The sequence below is a fragment of the Homo sapiens genome, chromosome 3 (genome assembly GCF_000001405.40).
Source record: "Homo sapiens chromosome 3, GRCh38.p14 Primary Assembly".
In the NCBI taxonomy this organism is placed as follows: Eukaryota; Metazoa; Chordata; class Mammalia; order Primates; family Hominidae; genus Homo; species Homo sapiens.
Genome location: NC_000003.12, coordinates 101,551,422 through 101,572,733, shown reverse-complemented (window position 1 = coordinate 101,572,733; position 21,312 = coordinate 101,551,422). Strand labels below are relative to the sequence as shown.

Genomic DNA, 21,312 nt, shown 5'->3' with positions numbered 1-21,312 from the left:
ATACACGAAGATTTTTATTTGAGATTATGTATTTACAGATGCTTGTAATTTTTTATGGGGGGTGGAATGGAGTCTCTCATTCTGTCACCCAGGCTGGAGTGCAATGGCATGGTCTTGGCTCACTGCAACCTCCGCCTCCTGGGTTCAAGCGATTCTCCTGCCTCAGCCTCTCGAGTAGCTGGGACAACAGGCGCGTGCCACCACACCCGGCTAATGTTTGTATTTTTAGTAGAGACGGGGTTTCACTATGTTGGCCAGGCTGGTCTCGAACTCCTGACTTTGTGATCCGCCCACCTTAGCCTCCCTAAGTGCTGGGATTACAGGCGTGAGCCACCGTGCCCGGCCGATGCTTGTAATTTTTAAGTGAAGAAGATAAAGCTCAGAGAAGTCACATACCTATTTAGGAGCGGATCCAGTTCCCATATACCACACTGCAGAAGTTAAGGATGCATGTGCAGGACTAGGTATGAAAGGAAAAAAACGAAACAAAAAAAGGATGAAGATAGTAATCCATTCACCTTTCAGTTCTGTGAGTTTCATGAGGTGTGCCTGTCTTGTTCACCACTGTTTCCCCAGCACCTGGATTATACTAGTCTGGATAAATATCTATTGAAGAAATTAATGCAAGCTTCAGTAACCTCCTACAAACGGGTTAGGAAATGGAAAGGTAGTGTAGTATGAAGGGGTGGAAAGGGGGTGATCACTTTCCTCCCCATCAAAAGAGTCATGACAACATGCTTGTTAATAAAAGACAGGTTAACAAGAGAAAATTAATGTGCATAAGCATGGGAATGATACAACAAAATAAGAAAACTAAAAAAAGGGTCAGATGGTTGAAGTTTAATACTTTTCATAGGGGAGAGAGAGGTGGGGGGGCTACAGGCAATTTTAGAGGAGTAGTAAATGATTTTAGGAGAGATTAATGCAGAAATTCACTTGTAAATTATTCTCTTTGTAAACCAAGTGAAACTAGAGAACCAATAATAATTCGAAGGCCAGTCGTGGTGACTCACTCCCATAATCCCAGCTACTAGGGAGGCTGAGATAGAAGGATCACTTGAGCCCCGGAGGCAAGGTTGCAGTGAGCCAAGATCTCGCCACTGCACTCCAACCTGGGTGACAGAGTGAGACCCTGTCTCAAAAACAAAAAACAGTAGTTTGAGGCAAAGTTTGGGCTCTAAGTGTGGTGGTTAATTTTCAGTCTCTTCCTCTATGATGTGAGTTTTGTTTTTTTATGAGACCAGGTCGCACTGTGTTGCCCAGGCTGGAGTGTGGTGGCTATTCACAGGCATGATGATAGCACACTACAGCCTCAAACTCCTGGCCTCAAGAATCCTCCCATCTGAGACTCACAGGTAGCTGGGACTACATGTGTGCACCACTGTATCTGGCTTTGTGATATGTTTTAATTTCTTCTGGTTAATGAAATTTCAGGGAGGAAGCAGATAGAAAGCAATTGTGTTCTTTGATGTGTGTGGTTTCTAGGTAGATAAGAAACTTCAAAGAACAGTCTTATCCCGTGTTTTGGGGGAGGCAGAGGATTGAGAGGCAGGAGGTGGGGTGGGGAGATCAGAGAAACCTTGCGGCTGCTTCTCTAGTTCAGCATGTCAAAGCACCAAATTTTGGGGTACCGTTTTCTGACAATGAATAGGCAATGTAGTCCAAGGCAAAGAGCATTAGTTTTGCACCACACAAAAACTCGACTTAAATTCTAATTCTGCATTTTGCTAATTCTGTGAGTTTGTACTGGATAACAATGTTATGGAATATGTTATAACTATACAAATGGAATAATACATATAGGGTTACTGAGGGCATTGGGATAATAAAGGTTAAATCTATAATATGCTGCCTGGCCATGGTGAGAGCTTGCTTCATAGTAGCTATGGATTATAACCTCTAGTGAGCTATTTAAGTGGTTTAAAAGGCTGGAAATGGAAGGTAATATGAGCAATTATTATTTTAATTTAGATGTGTAATTTGTGAGGCGACAACTATAATATCTAACATTTATTCAAGCTTACTATACACCAAGCATTGTTGCAGGTATTCTACATGAAATTCAGTACATTAAATCATTACAACCCTGTGAATTAAGTGCTACTGTTACTCCCATTTTTATGGAAGAGGGAATTTGGGCACGGAAAAGATAAGTAAGAAGTGGAGCTGAACTTGAAATTCAGGCCAAGAGCTACCAAAAAAAAAAAAAAAAAAATTAGAGTGGAGAAGAAAAGTGGCTAATCTTGATTTCACTAACCTTAAGTAGGTTCTTTTTTTTGTTTTGTTTTTGTTTTTGTTTTGAGACAGGATCTCGTTCTGTTGCCCAGGTTAGAGTACAGTGGCTCATAGCTCACTGCAGCCTTGAACTCCTGGGCTGAAGTGATCCTCCTGCCTTAGCCTCCCAAAATTCTCGGATTACAGGCATGAGCCATTAAGTAGGTTCTTAATGTAGCCTTATAATTCTATTACATGTCCTCAGACTATTCTCAATTTCAGTGTACATCAGAATCACCTGAAGGACATGTTAAAACAGATTGCTGGGCCCCATTGCCAGTTTCTGATTCAGTTGACTCAATGGCTGGAGCCCTAAAATTTGCATTTCTAACTAGTTCCCAAGTAATGCTGATGCTGCTCGTTGGGGAACCACACTTTGAGAACCACTGCCCTAATTCACTCACTTTCCTATACTATTTCATGTTTTGTTGGCTCTCCAAAAATGTCCATTACGTCCTCCCACTTGGGATGATTTTGCTTTTTATTTTCAGTGAGAAAATAATAGTAATCAAACAGAACTTCTATATATTCTCAACCATATCTGAGGTGTGGTACCTGCATTTATACCTATATACTATGTGTTCTGTTACTTATGAAGTGGAGCCTGTCCTTGTTTACACACATCACTATTGTTCCATCCGATTTTTCTTTCTACTATTGAAACATTCCCAACATCATACATACATGCTTTTATGTCTCCTATCTTAGTAAAAGACTCTTCTCTTGATCTCATATCTTCCTGTAGCTCCTCATTCCTATTTTCCTTCATATAGAAACTTTGAAAAGATTGTTCATACTCTGTCTCCTATATCTCTGTCCATTCTTTTTTTTATCTTTTGAGACAGGGTCTTGCTCTGTTACCCAACCTGGAATGCAATGACATGATCTTGGCTCACTGCAACCTCCACATCACACGCTCAAACGATCCTCCTGGCTTAGCCCGCCAAGTAGCTGGGACTAAAGGTGAACACCACCATCCCTGGCTAAGTTTTGTAGAGACAGGGTTTCACAATGTTGCCCAGGCTGGTCTCAAACTCCTGGACTCAAGGGATCCACCTGCCTTGGCCTCCCAAAGTACTGGGAGTACAGGTATGAGCCACCACACCTAGTCCCGTCCCTTCTTTTCGTTTTTGTTTTTTTTGAGACGGAGTCTTGCTCTGTCACTCAGGCTGGAGTATAGTGGCACAGTCTCGGCTCACTGCAACCCCCGCCTCCTGGCTTCAAGCAGTTCTTCTGTCTCAGTCTCCTGAGTAGCTGGGATTACAGGCCTGTGCCACAACACCTGGCTAATTTTAATTTTTGTATTTTTAGTAGAGCTGGGGTTTCACCATGTTGGCCAGGCTGGTCTCAAACTCCTGACCTTTGAGCCACCGTGCTCCGCCTGTCCATTTCCTTTTTTTTTTTTTTTTTTTTGAGGAGTTTTGCTCTTATTGCCTAGGCTGGAGTGCAATGGTGTGATCTCGGCTCACCGCAACCTCCACCTCCAGGGTTCAAGCGATTCTCCTGCCTCAGCCTCCCAAGTAGCTGGGATTACAGACATGCACCACCATGCCCGGCTAATTTTTTTTGTATTTTTAGTAGAGATGGTGTTTCTCCATGTTCGTCAGGGTAGTCTCGAACTTCCGACCTCAGGTGATCTGCCTGCCTCGGCCTCCCAAAGTGCTGGGATTACAGGCCTGAGCCACCACACCCGGCCTTGTCCATTCTCTTTTAAACCTACTCCAGTTGGCTTTCTTTTCAATCCTCTATTGAAATTGCTGTTGTCAAGATAATCAGCAATGTCCTCATTCCTACATTCAGTGGTCAGCTCTCAGACTTCATCTTACCTGATCTGCAGCATGAAACACTTTTTTTCATTTTGCCTCCAGGACATTTTCTCTCTTTTCTTACTGGTTGCTCTACCTCAGTCTTACTTGCTGGGTTCTTCTCATCTCTCACACCTCTAAATGTTGGAGTACCTTAGGGCTCAGACATCTGATATCTTTATCCACACAGACTCCCTAGATGGCCTCAACTAGTCTGGAGCATTTAACTAATTACATTATTAACATCTCCAGCCAGACCTTGTCTCTGAACTCCAGGCTCATATATCCAACTGACCACTTGATATCTCCACTTGGACATCTAATAGGCAACTGTAAAATGTCCCAAAGTTAACTTTGGATTACCTGCCCCCTCAAAGCTTCTGCATTTCGGTAAATAGTAACAAGTCCTTCCAGTTTCTCTAGTCAACAATCTTGAAGTCTTCCCTAAATTTTCTCTCTTACTAAACACATTCAGATCTGACTGTGTCTCACTACCTACTCTGTTACCACCCTCCTACAACCTACTATTATCTCTCACTTTTGTTACTGCAATAGCCTCCTAACTGGTCTCTCTCATAATCTATTCTCGACATAGCCAAAGTCATCATTTTAAACTGAATCCAATTTGGGGTGGGGTGGGGCAGGTGGGAGGAGAAGAAGACAAGAGGAAGATCCCCAAATGGGGCGGTGGTAGCAAGTGGGCAAGAAAAGACAACAAGAATCAGAGACAGAGGAAGAAAAGAAATCATCCAAGGAGGGGAGGGAAAAAAAAAATCACCCATCTGAGATCTATATCTGGGCTGGAGGAAAAAGTTTGTTACGTGTTTTCACAAAGAATAAATATACAAAACCATGGGGGTGGGGGGTGGAGAATGAGTCAGATCCTCTGATCCTCTGGTAAAAACCAAAGTTCTTACGGTGGCTTAAGATGCCTTACTTGACAGACCTAGCTACTCCTCTGACCTGATCTTCAGCTCTTTTTACTCATTTTGCTTCAGGCGCACCAGCCTTATTGGACCTTGAACCCTCTCTCAAGGGCTTCTGACACTTGTTCCTTTTGCTTGGAATTCCCTTCCCTCATATCTTCATAGCTTACTCTCACTTCAAGTCTGTGGAGATGTCACCTTGTCTGTCTTTGGGCAAATTAAGAAAGGAATACCTCCTTAGTGGATGCAGTCTTTTAAGCACATGGCCTAAAGGCAGACAGTCTTTGTATGAAGAAATGGCGTCTCTTCCTTCTAGCAAATGCAACCCTGCAACAGGGCATCATTCGGGGTTCTAAAATTCCAGCTACTTGGGAAACTGAGGCAGGAGGCTTACTTGAGCCCAGGAGATTGTGGCTGCAGTGAGCCATGATCACACCACTGCACTCCAGCCTGGTTTACAAGGTGAGACTCCATCACAAAAAAAGAAACAGAAAGAAAAGAAATGCATTGGACGTTTATGCCAATTTCCAATTCAGAAATTGGGAATAGTTGCCTATATCATTCCTATTTCCCATGTTTTCAAAAACTTTATTTTTAATTTCTCAGACAGGGTCTCTCTCTGTTGCCCAGGCTATAGCACAGCAGCACAATGTTGGCTCACTTGCAACCTCCACCTCCCAGGCTCAAGTGATCCTCCCACCTTAGCCTCCCAAGTAGCAGGGACTACATGCACACACCACCACACCTAGGCTAATTTTTGTATTTTTTTTAGAGATGGGGTTTCACCATGCTGCCCATGTTGGTATCAAACTCCTGGGCTCAAGTGATCAGCCTGCCTTGGCATCCCAAAGTGCTGGGATTACAGGAGTGAGCCAATGCACCAGACATAAATCCCTTTTTCTGTAAGAGGACAAGAAATCAGTTTTATCCCTGTGAACCCGTTTTTCATAGTTGTATAGAAAACCCCCCACAAAGTCCTTTTTCCTATTTTCTCACTCAACAAGCAACACAGAAGACCTCTGTGACCAAATGTCGGGGAATTTCTCAACACACAAGCTATCAGTTCTGCAGTGGACACCAGCTAGGTGTTCTGTAATTCAATTCAGACGCTATCTACCTGGAGATAGTGTCAGAGCCCACAGATTGAGGGCCTGGTCCCCAAAACTACTCCCTTCTCCCACCAGAAACAAGTTGCAAATCTGGGCCTACAGAACTTCTGACTGGCTTCAAGTTGGGGTACCAACTCCTTCTCTTGATTAATTTGCTTGAATGGCTCATAGAATTGAAGGAAACACATTTACCAGTTTACTGTAAAAGATATTACAAAACATACAGACAAAGAGATGCACGGGGAAAGCTATGGGGGAAGGGGTGCAGAGCTTCCAAGCCCACCCCAGGGCACCACCCTCTAGGAACCTCCATAAAAAAGTCTACCAATGGTACAACTATTTAACTGGGATAAAGATTATTCTGTTCAACAATCTTGGACAACTCTTTTTATTATCTTTCTACAGTAAACAAAGTATAATCCCAAAGTTCTGCAGATATTTAATTGGGAAAAGACACAACCCTACAGTCAGTTGGGAAAGACTACCTTTAGAAGAGAAAAATGAATTGTTTGGGAAGAAATACATTAACAGAACTGTATTTCTAACGCATTTACTTTTTAAGCCATCAAATGTTCTCATTTGAGCCACGTGTTCTGTGCACATTCAGAGAACCTTTTGAAAATGAATTAAGTCTTTGCCTTCTTTAGTCTGTTGATAAACTCTTGAGAATGCTGAGAAATCTCCAGAAAACCAGTATGTTTTCTCTTGGGAACGAATTGCAGAGCCTCTTGCCAATTACCATTGTTTTTCAGACATAACAAAATACGTATCATTTGATCTAAGGTGAGATTTTTGTTACCAATTTCCCATTGTAAATATTTATCTAATGGAAGGCATTCAGTTGCCAGGTTCAGCCGTTTTGCCTTGGCTAGGGATGTGCCTGGCTGCATACTCTTATCAACAAAAGACCCAATTACATAAACTTTGTCATGCCTGAAAGTAGTCATAACATTGGGAGAATCTGCAGTTAAATAGATAATACTGTCCTTTGGAAATAAATCTACATGAGACTTTTCTGTTGATGTTAAAAGCAATTTGTCCCATTTTTCTTGATACCGTTTAACTAACTCTCTGTGCAAAGCACCATCTATTTTTAGATTGCAGAAATAAATATGGAAAGGATCAACATTTCTTCTGTTCCATCCTTCACTTTCTAAAAGCTGGGAAACAGTATTCTGCAATTCTTTTCGTTTCATATAATTTTCGTAAGCCATGTCAAAAACCAAAGGTTGTCCAAACTGCATGGCCTGGGCACCCTTCCAGCCCATTGCTATGTCCATATTCCTATCCCAAAGTCGTAAAAATAGAAAGTTTTTCTGTTTATCTTCCTCAGTGGTTTCTAGCAGCTTGATATTTTTTGCTTCTTCCCTTGCTGCTGCTTTCATTTCCTTTTTTATTTGCCTAGCTTTTTTCACTTTTTCCTTCGTATATAAATATTTTAAATATTTTTTTTTTGCTGTGTTAGAAACACATTCCATAAGGGTTTTGAGCTCTTCTTCAGTGATGTGTTCTGGTACTTCTCTGCCAAGCAATCTCCACATCTCAATGAACTCTCTGGTGGCAGCTAGAGGATCTTCATCCTTACTGCTTGAGATTGTTGAAACACATTCTTCTTGCACACTAGATTTCATGGTAGTTTTCCACTTATCCAACTCTAGCTCTTCAGAAGGGGGTGTACTCTCATTTTTAGGATAAGTAACAGCTGGTATTTTGGAAGACATGTATCTCTGCAAAATTGTTAAGTTATTTCTCTTCCTATGAAGGGTAAATGGCACCAAAAACCTGGTGAAAGGTCTGAAGAAATTGACACTAACACTCATTTTGAGGAAAGCAGCCATGTAACAAAACCCCTGTAAAAGAAGAAAAATGCAATTAAAAATTAGACAAAGATTTTTATAACTTCTCAACTAATTGTGCAAGTATAAATTTGAAATAGCAAAATAAAATCAATTTTTGAAACACAAGGTAAAATCTTTGTACCAATTTTTTTCCTAGACTCCTGTGGTCTACAGCCTGTGATCACTCATTGAGTAAAAAGTTTAAAACTTAGTTGGGTTCTTGGCCGGGCGCAGTGGCTCATGCCTGTAATCCCAGCACTTTGGGAGCCTGAGGTGGGTGGATCACCTGAGGTCAGGAGTTCAAGACTAGCCTGGCCAACATGGTGAGAAACCCCATCTCTACCAAAAATACAAAAATTAGCCAGGTATGGTGGCAAGCACCTGTAATCCCAGCTTCTCGGGAGGCTGAGGCAGGAGAATTGCTTGAACCCGGGAGTTGGAGGTTGCAGTGAGGCGAGATTGTGCCACTGCACTCCAGCCTGGGTGACAGAGTGAGATTCTGTCTCAAAAAAAAAAAAAAAAAAAGTTGGGTTCTTATTTTAGACATGAATTTCACTATTGCTTTAGCTAAAAGGATAAGTTGAAGATCCTTTTTAGATTTTTATCTAGGGGCCCAGAGAATCAATGTTACTGGGCAACAAAGTTATGTACCACCGAGGCAGCTGACATCATGATGCTGCATACTCCTCCATTCTACACTAAGCCCAGATACAGAACCAAACATAAGATCCTTCACAAAAGCAACAAATAAAGACAAAGGACATGAAAGGTACTGAGAATGGCAACAGGTAAAAAGCACTTAGAAACTGCTGTACCAATGCCCTCGTTACAGAAATATACCAAGATCTACTGATCAAAAAATAGCAACAAATTCTTCCCCAGTTCAGGCTTTATTTTGCAGCAAATAATGTTATTAACAAAGAAAATGTCCAAGATTGAGACAAATGTATATAAATGTATATAAAGCTCCACAGTTTTATCCTAAAAGCCTGGATGTCCATGAGATATTGAAGATGCTTAAAGATGTAAAACTTGTCTCAAATTTGAAGGAAAAGAAATAAAGGGAATTCAAATTTTTACAAAATGCAAATAAAACACTTGAAAAATTCCTTCTTCCCTTGGCTTCATTTAATGACCCTGCACAGGCTCCTAGGTTTCCTGCTCTCTGACCTGTGCACTGATGTCCAGATGCCCCTCCCTTAAAGGTGGATGTAACTCCGCATTCTATCCTATTCTTTTTTTTCAATCTATACATTTCCCTTCTGAGATGTGACCTACTTCTGTGGCTTCAATGACCATGCATTAGAAAGACATCTCAAATGCAGGCCGGGTGCAGTGGCTCACTCCTGTAATCCCAGCACTTTGGAAGGCCGAGGAGGGAGGATCGCTTGAGGTCAGGAGTTTGAGACCAGCCTGACCAACATGGCGAAACCCTGTCTCTACTAAAAATACAAAAATTAGCCAGGTGTGGTGGCGCATGCCTGTAATCCCAGGTACTCGTGAGGCTGAAGTGGGGCGATTCTTCTACTTCCCAGGTACTCGTGAGGCTGATGTAGAAGAATCGCTTGAATAAGGGGGGCGGAAGTTGCAGTGAGCCGAGATTTTGCAACAAAATCTGTTGCAGTGAGCGACAGAGTAAGACTGTCTCAAAACAACAAAAACAAACAAAAAACACCTCAAACGCAACAAATCGAAATAACCCCTCTACCTTTGCTTCACAATCTGATCCTCCTTCAATGTTCTGTTTCAAGGGATATTGCTATCCATTGGTATTGTTCCCAACATATATTTCTAAGCTTATTGCGGCCAGGTCAGCAGCATCTCTAGCTATTCTTCACCTCACACTTCAAGTATTCCACCATTACTTTTCACAGCACTCTGGTGCCTATGACAGTACTTCTAACACTGCACTGTAATTGCCTGGTTATCTATTTGCCTCACTAGATGGTAAGGACTAACTAGTGTCCATGAGGACAAGGACTTTGTCTATAATGTTAACATTGAATCCAATGCTTGACAGTATTTGGCTCACAGTAATCACGCAAATATTTTTCTAATACCCTAGATCGATGCTTCCTTCATTAAAAAAAAAAAAAAGAAAAAAAAAGTTCAGCCTCCCTTTATTATTTTTTTTGAGACGGAGTCTCGCTCTGTCACTCCAGGCTGGAGTATAGTGGCGCGATCTCGGCGCAAGCTCCGCCTCCCAGGGTTCACGCCATTCTCCTGCCTCAGCCTCCCGAGTAGCTGGGACTACAGGCACCCGCCACCACGCCCGGCTATTTTGTATTTTTAGTACAGACGGGGTTTCACTGTGTTAGCCAGGATGGTCTCGGATCTCCTGACCTCGTGATCCGCCCACCTCGGCCTCTCATTGTGCTGGGATTACAGGCGTGAGCCACCGCGCCCGGCTCAGCCTCCCTTTAAAGAGAAAACAATTTACTTTAGAATCCCGGAAATATTTAACTGGGGTCCCCAGGCCCCAATCTAATAAACATTGATTTCAGAAGGAGTTTTAAAAGTTTTATTCTTGTAACTGGCAAGGACTTAGAATACCACAGAAATGAAAACCCCAATTGTAAAAAGCAATCAAGTACATCATTTCAGGAACCACTGATTTTGTTTCAGGTACTGTACTAGTTATAGTTTATTAAAATCACTGGGCTTCCTCTTACCCGTGGGCCTTCCGAACGCACATGCTCCACTAAGTGCATCTTGGAACGTCTCCGGCGTCCTCCCACCCCCAACACACACATTAGGCGAAAGAAGAAACTCGCTTACCAGGAGTGCAGAGATAGTGGTTCCCGCTGGCGCAAAGAACAGGGACCCTGGAGGACGAAGGACTCCGACGTACGGACGCCCAGGGATCCGCGCCGAAGCTAGCACGCAGCCTACCCAACAGTCTACACAGCCGACCAGAGCGGTCGCTGGGGCTCAGCCGGAAGTTCCGCCCTCTCCCTTCCGGCGCTGCTTTTTACGTCACAGCACGCAAAGAACGCTTTCTTGGCTAAAAGAAGCGCCTTAGAGGAGACGGCTGTCAGTAGGCAACTGGGTACTCGAAGACTACGCTCTCAGTTGTCACGGAGTTGTAGCTGTGTTGTGTTGTGTTTTCCTCCATATATCCTAAAAACTTCTTCTGGGCCGGGCCAGTTGGCTTACGCCTGTTATCCCAGTGCTTTGGGCGGCCGAGGCGGGCGGATCACTTGGGGTCAGGAGTTTGAGACCAGCCTGGCCAACATAGTGAAACCCCGTCTCTACTAAAAATACAAAAATTAGCCAGGTGTGGTGGCGCGCGCCTGTAATCCCAGTTGCTCGGGAGGCTGAGGCAGGAGAATCGCTTGAACCTGGGAGGCGGAGGTTGCGGTGAGCTGAGATCGCGCCACTGCACTCCAGCCTGGGCGACAGAGCAAGACTCTCTGTCTCAAAAAAAAAAAAAAAAAAAAAAAAAAACTGTTTCTAATCCTCTTTTCAACCTACTCTCTGTTTGGGCCCTGTATTTATAAACATTTGCTGACAGAGTACTAAAATAAAGTATGTTTTTTTCACACGTCTTCTTACTCAGCTTCAAACTCCTTGACGCTAGGACTTTAAACTCCTAATCTTTTTGACCAGTTTATCACCAGTACCTGGCACTATGCTTGGAACGTGATAAGCCACGGTAAGTTTCTGTCTCCTCCTAGCTCATTTGGAAAGTTTAATGTGAAATGAAATTAAAACACATTTGTAAATTGGTGGCCTTTGGGGCCAATTCAGCCTCCACATATATTTGTAACCAAACACAGAATGAACATATTCTGCAGCCATTCTACTCCTAGTAATATACCCAAAGAAATTGAAAGCAGAGACACAAACAGACACTTGTACTCTAATGTCATTGTAGCATTATTGATAATAACCAAAAGGTGGAAGCAACCCAAATATCCATGAACAGATGAATAGATTAAAAAATGTTGCATGTACATACAATGGAATATTATTCAGTCTTAAAAAGGAATGAAGTTCTGATACATGGTACAACATGGATAAACTTTGGAGGCATTATACACTGAGATAAGCCAGGCACAAAAGGACAAATATTGTATAAGTCCACCTATATGAAGTGCCTAGAATAGTCAAATCATAAAGAAAGAAAGTAGAATAGTGTTTACCAGGGGCTGGGGAAAGGGAAGAATGGGCAGTTACTGTTTAATAGGTATGAATTTTCAGTATGGGATGATGAAAAAGTTCTGGAGATGGATAGTAGTGATGGTTGTACAAGAACGTGAATGTACTTAATGCCATTGAACTGTACACTTGAAAATGACTAAAATGGAAATGTTTATATTGTATATAGTTTACTAAAATAAAAGAAGGTAGGCATAGTCTTTTCCAAATGATTTTAAAAAACGAGATCTTGTCTAAGAGACTGATTACTATCATGTTAGAAAGGTGAGGTGGTGATAGCAAAATAATCATGAGTTTACTCCCAAACATGGAAAAAAATCAAGAATAAATATCGTCTAGTAGTTATAACAAATAGCAGTGTAGAGGTTATTTTTTCTTGTTCCTGTTCTTTAAAGAGATACATCTGAAGTTTTTCCATTAATATTTTATGAAGGTTTTTGCTATATGATCTTTGTCAAGTAAAGGAAATTTCATTCTGTTAAGTTTACTAAGATTCTTTATGTGAAAAATCTTTGGAAGTGTTTCTATAAATATAGCAGAACATAATTTATTCAATATGTCTGGGATCTGACCTATTCTAGATTAAGAATATTTCCAGGTTTCAGACATCTTACCTCCAACAAAAAGCACAGTGATTTTCAAAATACGTTTTTTTGTTTTTTTTTTTTGAGACGGAGTCTCGCTCTTTCACCCAGGCCAGAGTGCAGTGGCGCGATCTCGGCTCATTGCAAGCTCCGCCTCCCGGGTTTACGCCATTCTCCTGCCTCAGCCCCCGAGTGGCTGGGACTACAGGCGCCCGCCACCGCGCCCGGCTAATTTTTTGTATTTTTAGTAGAGACAGGGTTTCACCGTGTTAGCCAGGATGGTCTCGATCTCCTGACCTCGTGATCCGCCCGCCTCGGACTCCCACAGTGCTGGGATTACAGGCGTGAGCCACCGCGCCCGGCCTCAAAATACATGTTTTGGCATAGAAAAATAGCTTGTAATATGGGATGTAAGGTATCAAAAAAATAAAAAATAAATTGTAGGCCAGGAGCAGTGGCTCATGCCTATAATCAGCATTTTGGGAGGCCAAGGCAGGCAGATTGCTTGGGCTCAAGAGTTCCAGACCAGCCTGGCCAACGTGGTGAAACCCTCTCTCTACAAAAAATACACAAAAAAAGAAAAGAAAAAGAAATAAATTTTAAAAGCAAGGAAATATATAAAAACCCATAAGACAATGTCACATAAACACTAGAATTGAAAAACTAGAAGGTCTGAATGCTCTCTCTTGGCTCATATTTCTTCTTGGAAACAATGGTTAGACCTAAATAAAGGCTGTTTTGTAGTCAAGGCACCCACTCTCCAGTTCCCCAGAGCTTATTCCACCACATGTTATCTTTTCTACACTGGTGCAAATGTCATTTGCCATGTATTTTGCCTGCACTGTTTATTATATAATAGAGAACGATTTCTCTATACCAACGTCTCTTTCAAGAGTTGGAAGACAAAGCATGGATTCAAAGATTTAGGTGTTACTTACAAAGTAGAGAACTCTTGTATTTGATTCTCTGCTCTACCTTCAATGTCTACAACAGTGCTTGGCAAGTATCGGAAACTCAATAATAATTTGCTGATGAATGAATACTAAATAGATCAGGTAAGTGATGTTAGTGGCTTGGACAACAGTGGTGGCAGTAAAGGCAAAGAAAAGGGGGAATATTTGAAAGATATTTAAGAGCTGGACATGACAGAATTTGGTGATCAATTTGGGAGAGAAGGAGAGGAACAAGTCAATAGTCTGGTTTGAGCACCTGGGCAGACAGTGAAAAGGAGTATATGGTGTGAGGGCAGAGATGGTAAGTATAGTGTTAGACATGCGGCTTTTCATCTCTCTTCAAAATAGCCAAATGATATCTCCTTTAGGATATTTGGCAGTTGGCTGTATGGGTCTAGAGTTTAGGTGAAAGAAGAATGCACCAAAGATACATATTTGAGAGTTATTAACATAGAGTCTGTGAAACCATATGGGTGGAAGAGATTACCTAGGGCTTGGGTAGAGAACAGGAATGGACAAAAGAAACTGAAAATAAGCAGCTAAAGAGATGGGAGGAAAACAACCAGAATATGACATAGAAATCAAGGAAAAGGTGTTTTCAAAGACAAGTGGATGGGTAACAGGGTCAAATATTGCCTAGAGATCATGCAATGCAGACTGAAAAGTATCTACTAGATTTAGCAATACAAGGGCCACTGGGACCTTCATTGTGAGGTTTGGGGGCTTTAGCCAGATGAGAGTGAATAAGGAATGAGGAGATTATGAGAAAATAGAATCAGCAAGTTTAAACATTTCTATGAAATTTGTCTAAAGAAAAGACAGCGTGCTCAGTCCCTGGATGTGGAGTCCAGGAAAATTTTCTTCATTATTATTATGTTAGATTGGGAGAGGCCTGACATTTTAAATGCTGTTAGAATCATCAGCAAAGGGGTAAGAGAAAGAAAGGATAATGGGATGGGTAGACTTCCTGAGAAGATTAACAGAGATGGTATATAGAGGAGAGATGCTATTTAGAGGAGAGATGGAGAGATTGGTTTCGTATAAGAGGAAGAAATACCACTTTCATTGTAACAAGAAGAAAGGAAGAAACTTAAGGTGGGTATGGAGGACAATTTATAGACATGATGGCTATAATTTGATACAGTTCGCATTCTCTGTGAAAGAGGTAGACAGACTACCTCTGCGGATACTAAAGATTGGGTGAAGGTTTGTTATTGTCATAAAGAATAACATATAACAAATGTACAGAAACAGAAAGTAGAATGGTTGTTACTGTGGAGTCCTAATTAGGGAAAAGGAGTCAGGCTGGCGGGACCAGAGGAAAGCAAAGAGATAAAGCAAATAAGCTATAAATATGCCTGTCTTCACGGTTCAGGACATATAAACAAAAAAGGAAGAGGATGAATTATAGGTCTGTTTTTCTTTATGCCCAAGGACATATTGCCCAATACATATGGCCCTCCTACTCAGATAATGTACGTAACTCAAAAACTTACTGCTTACCAACAAACGCCTCAATTTATCAAACATCTCAGCTGACAAAAGAAAGCAAGTTATGCTGCCAGTGCATTGGCATTATCAATCAGCCCAAGTTCTATGTTATAAAATCTCCAGCTAATCTTTGTCTCTTTGCAGTCGGCTCCTCTTTTGCAGCCTTCCGGTTGCTTTATTGCAATGTATTTTCCTACTTTCTTTCTCTCTCTCTCTTTTTTTTTTTTTTTGAGAGGGAGTCTCGCTCTGACACCAGGCTGGAGTGCAGTGGTGCGATCTCAGCTCACTGCAACCTCCGCCTCCTGGATTCAAGCGATTCTCCTGCCTCAGCCTCCCGAGTAGCTGGGGCTACAATCATGCGCCACCACGCCCAGCTAATTTTTGTATTTTTAGTAGAGACGGGGTTTCACCATGTTTGCCAGAATGGTCTCAATTTCTTGACCTTGTGATCTGCCTGCCTCAGCCTCCCAAAGTGCTGGGATTACAGGCGTGAGCCGTGCCTGGCTTTTCCTACTTTCTTTAATAAATTTGCCTTTCTTTACAAGCGTTTTTGGTAAATTCTTTTACTCCAGAGCCACCGGCCCAGATAGTTGTCCCTGCCACCCCCTGTGACAGTTACCAGGAATGGTGGAGTTGTTTAATGAGTTTCAGATATGCAAGATGAAAAAGTCCTGGAGATCTGTTGCATAGCAATGTAAATATAGTTAACACTACTGAACTGCACACTCAAAAAATGGTTAAGATGGTAAAGAAAGAAGTATGAGTTGACTAGTGAGACAGCCATGATATCAGGCAGTGCTAATAGTCTAGTTCAGTTTGGGGATCATGAATTTATAGTGATACCAATCTGTGTTACGTGATCTTTCTCCCTATTTTGCTAATGCTGCTAAGGGCTAAGATGGCTGGGTAAAACTCAGTTTACAGAAGGGGAGTGGTGTAAAGTTGTTAAATATTTTGGTATAGGGGAAGAAATATGACTATCTATCTTCCCTTCATGAGTTCTTAGCTGAGACTCTCTGTAACAAAAGACAGATTGAACAAGAGAAAAACAAGTTTAATAACTTGTATACCTCTTGTATGCATGGGAGATAACCCAGAGAGATGAGTAAATCTTAAAAAATAAAAATTAACAAAAAAAGATTTTAAACTTCAGGGTTGAATATTATCATTTTCTGAAAACAACAACAACAACAACAACAACAAAGAAGGATGTGGAGACAGATTCAGTTAAGTTGAGATGACCAGCAAAATTACCTTAAACGGAGATAAGGTTTGTTATGCAGATTTCAGGTGATTCTGCCTTGATTGTTTAAGAGTCTCTAGTGATTTAGGGCCAGACTGGTGGCTCATGTCTGTAATGCCAGCACTTTGGGAGGATGCGGTGGGCTGATCACCTGAGCTCAGGAATTTGAGACCAGCCTGGCCAACATGGCAAAGCCCCATCTCCACTAAAAATACAAAAAAAAAAAAAAAAAGATTAGCTAGACGTGGTGGTGCATGCCTGTAGTCCCAGCTACTTAGGGGACTGAGGCAGGAGAATTGCTTGAACCCAGGAGGCAGACATCATGCCACTGCACTCCAGCCTGGGCAACAGAGTGAGACTTCATGTCAAAAAAACAAAAAGTGTATCTAGTGATTTAATAATCAGTGTCTTCTTGGTGCAGAGAGGGAGACATCCTTATCAATGGAGATTTCCTTTATTGAGATAAAAGGACAACTTTTCATAGCTGCTTCTGTGTCTGCAGCTTCCCAGAATAACTAGATCAGAATAATCAATATGTCAAAGAGGCATATTTTAGGGTGATGTGTTCTAGTCTCCTATGGTCATATTTTGGGTTGGTGTATCCTGAGCCCCATCATCAGCATCAGAGTGGCTGCAGGAGTGGTCTGTAGAGTCTATAGGAGATCAAAATATACCATCCCCAAAAATGTCTCTCTGGTGTAAGGATTATTTTGAGCTGAAGACAATTAATAAAAAGCAGACATAACATGAGCTCTCTGCCCTCTCCTATCTGCCTGAGAGTAAAACATACATTTCCTCTTGTGAAGGTGTTCCTCCCACCACTCACACACTTAATGAAGTTGTTGTCACGGGGTTAGCAAGAATAATGGACAGAAATACAATTATAATTAAGCATTAATCAAGCTGCACTTTGACTCACTTCCTCATAACCAAAAGTTACATAGCACCAGATTTGCATCCCCATTGTTCCTATAAATAGAATTTCTGATGTTAAAATCATAAAGTTTTTAAGATAGGTAGGAGCTCTGATATTAGAATCATAAGAATTTTATTTAAAAAGTGCTTGGCCAGGCATGATGGCTCACCCCTATAATCCCAGCGTTTTAGGAAGCTGAAGCAGGAGGATCACTTGAGTCCAGGAGTTTGAGACCACCCTGGGCAACATAATGAGATTCTGTCTCTATAGGAACTAAAAAAAATTAGCTGGGCATGGTGGTGCATGCTTGTAGTCCTGTTACTGTTGGAAGGTATCTGAGTTACCGGCAGCAGCGACTTTGTATGGGTCTGCAGCAACTTCAATTCTTGTCTCCTCAGAAGAAAGATTTCAACTGAGGAGCAGAAGGCAGAAGAAGAGACAGAGGTGAGTTTCAGAGCAGGAGTGGAAGTTTATTTTAAAGGCTTTAGAACAGGAAAGAAGGAAAATTCACTTGGACGAGATCCAAGTGGGCACCTGAAGGTCAAGTGTGGTGTTTAATCTTGATCCTAGGACTTTATAGGTGTGTTAGTCTGTTTTCATGCTGCTGATAAAGACATACCTGAGACTGGGCAATTTACAGAAGAAAGAGGTTTAATGGGCTTACAGTTCCATGTGGCTGGGGAGGCCTCACAATCATGGCAGAAGGCAAAAGTCACTTCTTACATGGTGGCAGCAAGAGAGAGCTTGTGCAGAGAAACTCCCATTTTTAAAACCATCAGATCTCATGAGACCCATTCACTATCATGAGAACAGCGTAGGAAAGACCCACCCCCATGATTTGATCATCTCCCACCATGTCTCTCCCACAAGTGGGAATTATGGGAACTACAAGATGAGATTTGGGTGGGGTCACAGAGCCAAACCATATCATTCTGCTCCTGGCCCTTTCCAAATCTCTGATCTTCACATTTCAAAACCAATCATGCCTTCCCAACAGTCCCCCAAAGCCTTAACTCATCTCAGCATTAACTCAAAAGTCCACAGTCCAAAGTCTTATCCAAGACAAGGCAAGTTCCTTCTGCCTATGAGCCTGTAAAATCAAAAGCAAGTTAGTTATTTCCTAGATACAATGGCGGTACTGGCATTGGGTAAATACAGCCATTCCAAATGGGAGAAATTGGCCAAAACGAAGGGGCTATAGGGCCCCTGCAAGTCCAAAATCCAGCAGGGCGGTCAAATCTGAAAGCTCCAAAATCATCTCCTTTGACTCCATGTCTCACATCCAGGTCATGCTGATGCAAGAGGTGGGTTCCCATGGTCTTGGGCAGCTCCGCCCCTGTGGCTTTGCAGGGTAAAGCCTCCCTCCTGGCTGTCTTCACAGGGTGGCATTGAGTGTCTGCAGCATTCGAGATGCATGGTGCAAAGCTGGCAGTGGATCTACAATTCTGGGGTCTGGAAGACAGTGGCCCTCTTCTCATAGCTCCACTAGGCAGTACCCCAGTAGTAGGGACTCTGTTTGGGGGCTCCCACCCCACATTTCTCTTCTGCACTGCCCTAGCAGAGGTTCCATGAGGACCCCGCCCCACAGCAAACTTCTGCCTAGACATCCAGGCGTTTCCATACATCTTTTGAAATCTAGGCAGAAGCTCCCAAACCTCAATTCTTGACTTCCGTGCACTCGTAGGTTCAACACCACATGGAAGCTGCTAAGGCTTGAGGCTTGCACCCTTTGAAGCCATGGCCCAAGCTCTTTGTTTGCCCCTTTCAGCCATGGCTGGAGTGGCTGGGATGCAGAGCGTTAAGTCCCTAAGCTGCACACAGCAGGTGGACCCTGGGCCCAGCCCACAGAATCACTTTTTTCCTCCTAGGCCTCCGGCCTGTGATGGGAGGGGCTGCCACAAAGGTCTCTGACATGCCCTGGAGACATTTTCCCCATTGTCTTGGTGGTTAACATTCAGCTCCTCGTTACTTATGCAAGTTTCTGCAGCCAGCTTGAATTTCTCCTCAGAAAATAGGATTTTCTTTTCTATTGCATCATCAGGCTGCAAATTTTCTGAACTTTTATGCTTTGTTTCCCTTTTGAAACTGAACGCCTTTAACAGTATGCAAATAGCCTCTTGAATGCTTTGCTACTTAGAAATTTCTTCCACCAGATACCCTAAATCATCTCTCTCAAGTTCAAAGTTCCACAAATCTCTAGGGCAAGGGCAAAATGCTGCCAATCTGTTTGCTAAAACATAACAAGAGTCACCTTTGCTCCAGTTCCCAATAAGCTCCTCATCTCCATCTGAGACCACCTCAGCCTGGACCTTACTGTTCATGTCATTATCAGCATTTTTGTCAAAGCCATTCAACAAGTCTCTATGAAGTTGCAAACTTTCCCACATTTTCCTGTCTTCTTTTGAGCCCTCCAAACTGTTCCAGCCTCTGCCTATTACCCAGTTCCAAAGTCACTTCCACATTTTTGGGTATCTTTTCAGCAACACCCCACTCCACTGGTACTAATTTACCATTTTAGTCCATCTTCATGCTGCTGATAAAGACATACCCAAGACTGGGCAATTTACAGAAGAAAGAGGTTGAATGGGTTTACAGTTCCACGTGGCTGGGGAGGCCTCACAATCATGGCGGAAGGGGAAAGGCACTTCTTTTTTTTTTTTTTTTTTTTTTCATTTTGCCTTTAACCTTTATTCTACTATTTTTCTTTTTTTTTTGAGATGGAATCTCACTCTGTTGCCTAGGCCAGATGGAGTGCAGTAGCATGATCTCAGCGCACTGCAGCCTCTGCCTCCCGGGTTCAAGCAACTCTCCTGCTTCAGCCTCCTGAGTAGTGAGATTACAGGCATGCACCAAAACGCCCAGCTAATTTTTCTATCTTTAGTAGAGAGGGGGTTTCACCATGTTGGCCAGGCTGGTCTGGAACTCTTTTTTTTTTTTTTTTTTTTTTTTTAGTATTTATTGATCATTCTTGCGTGTTTCTCGGAGAGGGGGATGTGGCAGGGTCATAGGATAATAGTGGAGAGAAGGTCAGCAGATAAACACGTGAACAAAGGACTCTAGTTTTCCTAGGCAGAGGTCCCTGCAGCCTTCTGCAGTGTTTGTGTCCCTGGGTACTTGAGATTAGGGAGTGGTGATGACTCTTAAAGAGCATGCTGCCTTCAAGCATCTGTTTAACAAAGCATATCTTGCACCGCCCTTAATCCATGTAACCCTGAGTGGACACAGCACATGTTTCGGAGAGCACGGGGTTGGGGGTAAGGTTATAGATTAACAGCATCCCAAGGCAGAAGAGTTTTTCTTAGTACAGAACAAAATGGAGTCTCCTATGTCTACTTCTTTCTACACAGACACAGTAACAATCTGTTCTCTCTTTCTTTTCCCCACATTTCCCCCTTTTCTTTTCTACAAAACTGCCATCGTCATCATGGCCCGTTCTCGATGGTCGCTGTCTCTTCAGAGCTGTTGGCTACACCTCCCAGCCGGGGCGGCCGGGCACAGGTGTTCCTCACTTCCCAGCCGGGGCAGCCGGGCAGAGGCGCTCACTTCCTAGACGGGGCGGCTGGGCAGAGGCACTCCTCAGTTCCCAGATGGGGCGGCCGGGCAGAGGCACTCCTCAGTTCCCAGATGGGGCGGCCGGGCAGAGGCGCCCCTCAGTTCCCAGACGGGGTGGTGGCCGGGCAGAGGCGCCCCCCACCTCCCAGACGGGGCGGCCGAGCAGAGGCGCCCCCCACCTCCCAGACAGGGCGGCCGGGTCGAGGCGCCCCCCCCACCTCCCAGACGGGTTGGCCGGGTCAAGGCGCCCCCCACCTCCCAGACGGGGCGGCCGGGCAGAGGCACTCCCCACGTCCCAGATGGGGCGGCCGGGCAGAGATGCTCCTCACTTCCTAGACGGGGTGGCGGCCGGGCAGAGGCGCTCCTCACTTCCCAGATGGGGCGGCCGGGCAGAGGCGCTCCTCACATCCCAGACGATGGGCGGCCAGGCAGAGATGCTCCTCACTTCCTAGACATGGTG

General features: G+C 43.1%; 1 protein-coding gene across 1 annotated transcript, besides 3 other annotated features; it reads right to left on the bottom strand.

The window, feature by feature from the left end:
* Positions 6,288-10,866, bottom strand: TRMT10C (tRNA methyltransferase 10C, mitochondrial RNase P subunit). The gene is made up of 2 exons (NM_017819.4): positions 10,731-10,866; positions 6,288-7,964 (listed from the first exon to the last, which is right to left on the bottom strand). Exon 2 carries the CDS (start codon positions 7,950-7,952, stop codon positions 6,741-6,743), a length of 1,212 nt encoding a protein of 403 aa, NP_060289.2. The 5' UTR covers positions 7,953-7,964; positions 10,731-10,866; the 3' UTR covers positions 6,288-6,740.
* Positions 10,731-10,800: an enhancer, noted in NCBI's record as "active region_20166". NCBI's record gives its function as "activates an Ori minimal core promoter by ATAC-STARR-seq in GM12878 lymphoblastoid cells {active_cell/tissue: GM12878}" and the evidence as "EXISTENCE:reporter gene assay evidence [ECO:0000049][PMID:35858748]".
* Positions 10,811-10,880: an enhancer, noted in NCBI's record as "active region_20165". NCBI's record gives its function as "activates an Ori minimal core promoter by ATAC-STARR-seq in GM12878 lymphoblastoid cells {active_cell/tissue: GM12878}" and the evidence as "EXISTENCE:reporter gene assay evidence [ECO:0000049][PMID:35858748]".
* Positions 16,113-16,725: an enhancer, noted in NCBI's record as "OCT4-NANOG hESC enhancer chr3:101274853-101275465 (GRCh37/hg19 assembly coordinates)". NCBI's record gives its function as "activates a minimal SCP1, AML or CMV promoter by ChIP-STARR-seq in primed H9 embryonic stem cells {active_cell/tissue: H9 hESC(primed)}" and the evidence as "EXISTENCE:reporter gene assay evidence [ECO:0000049][PMID:30033119]".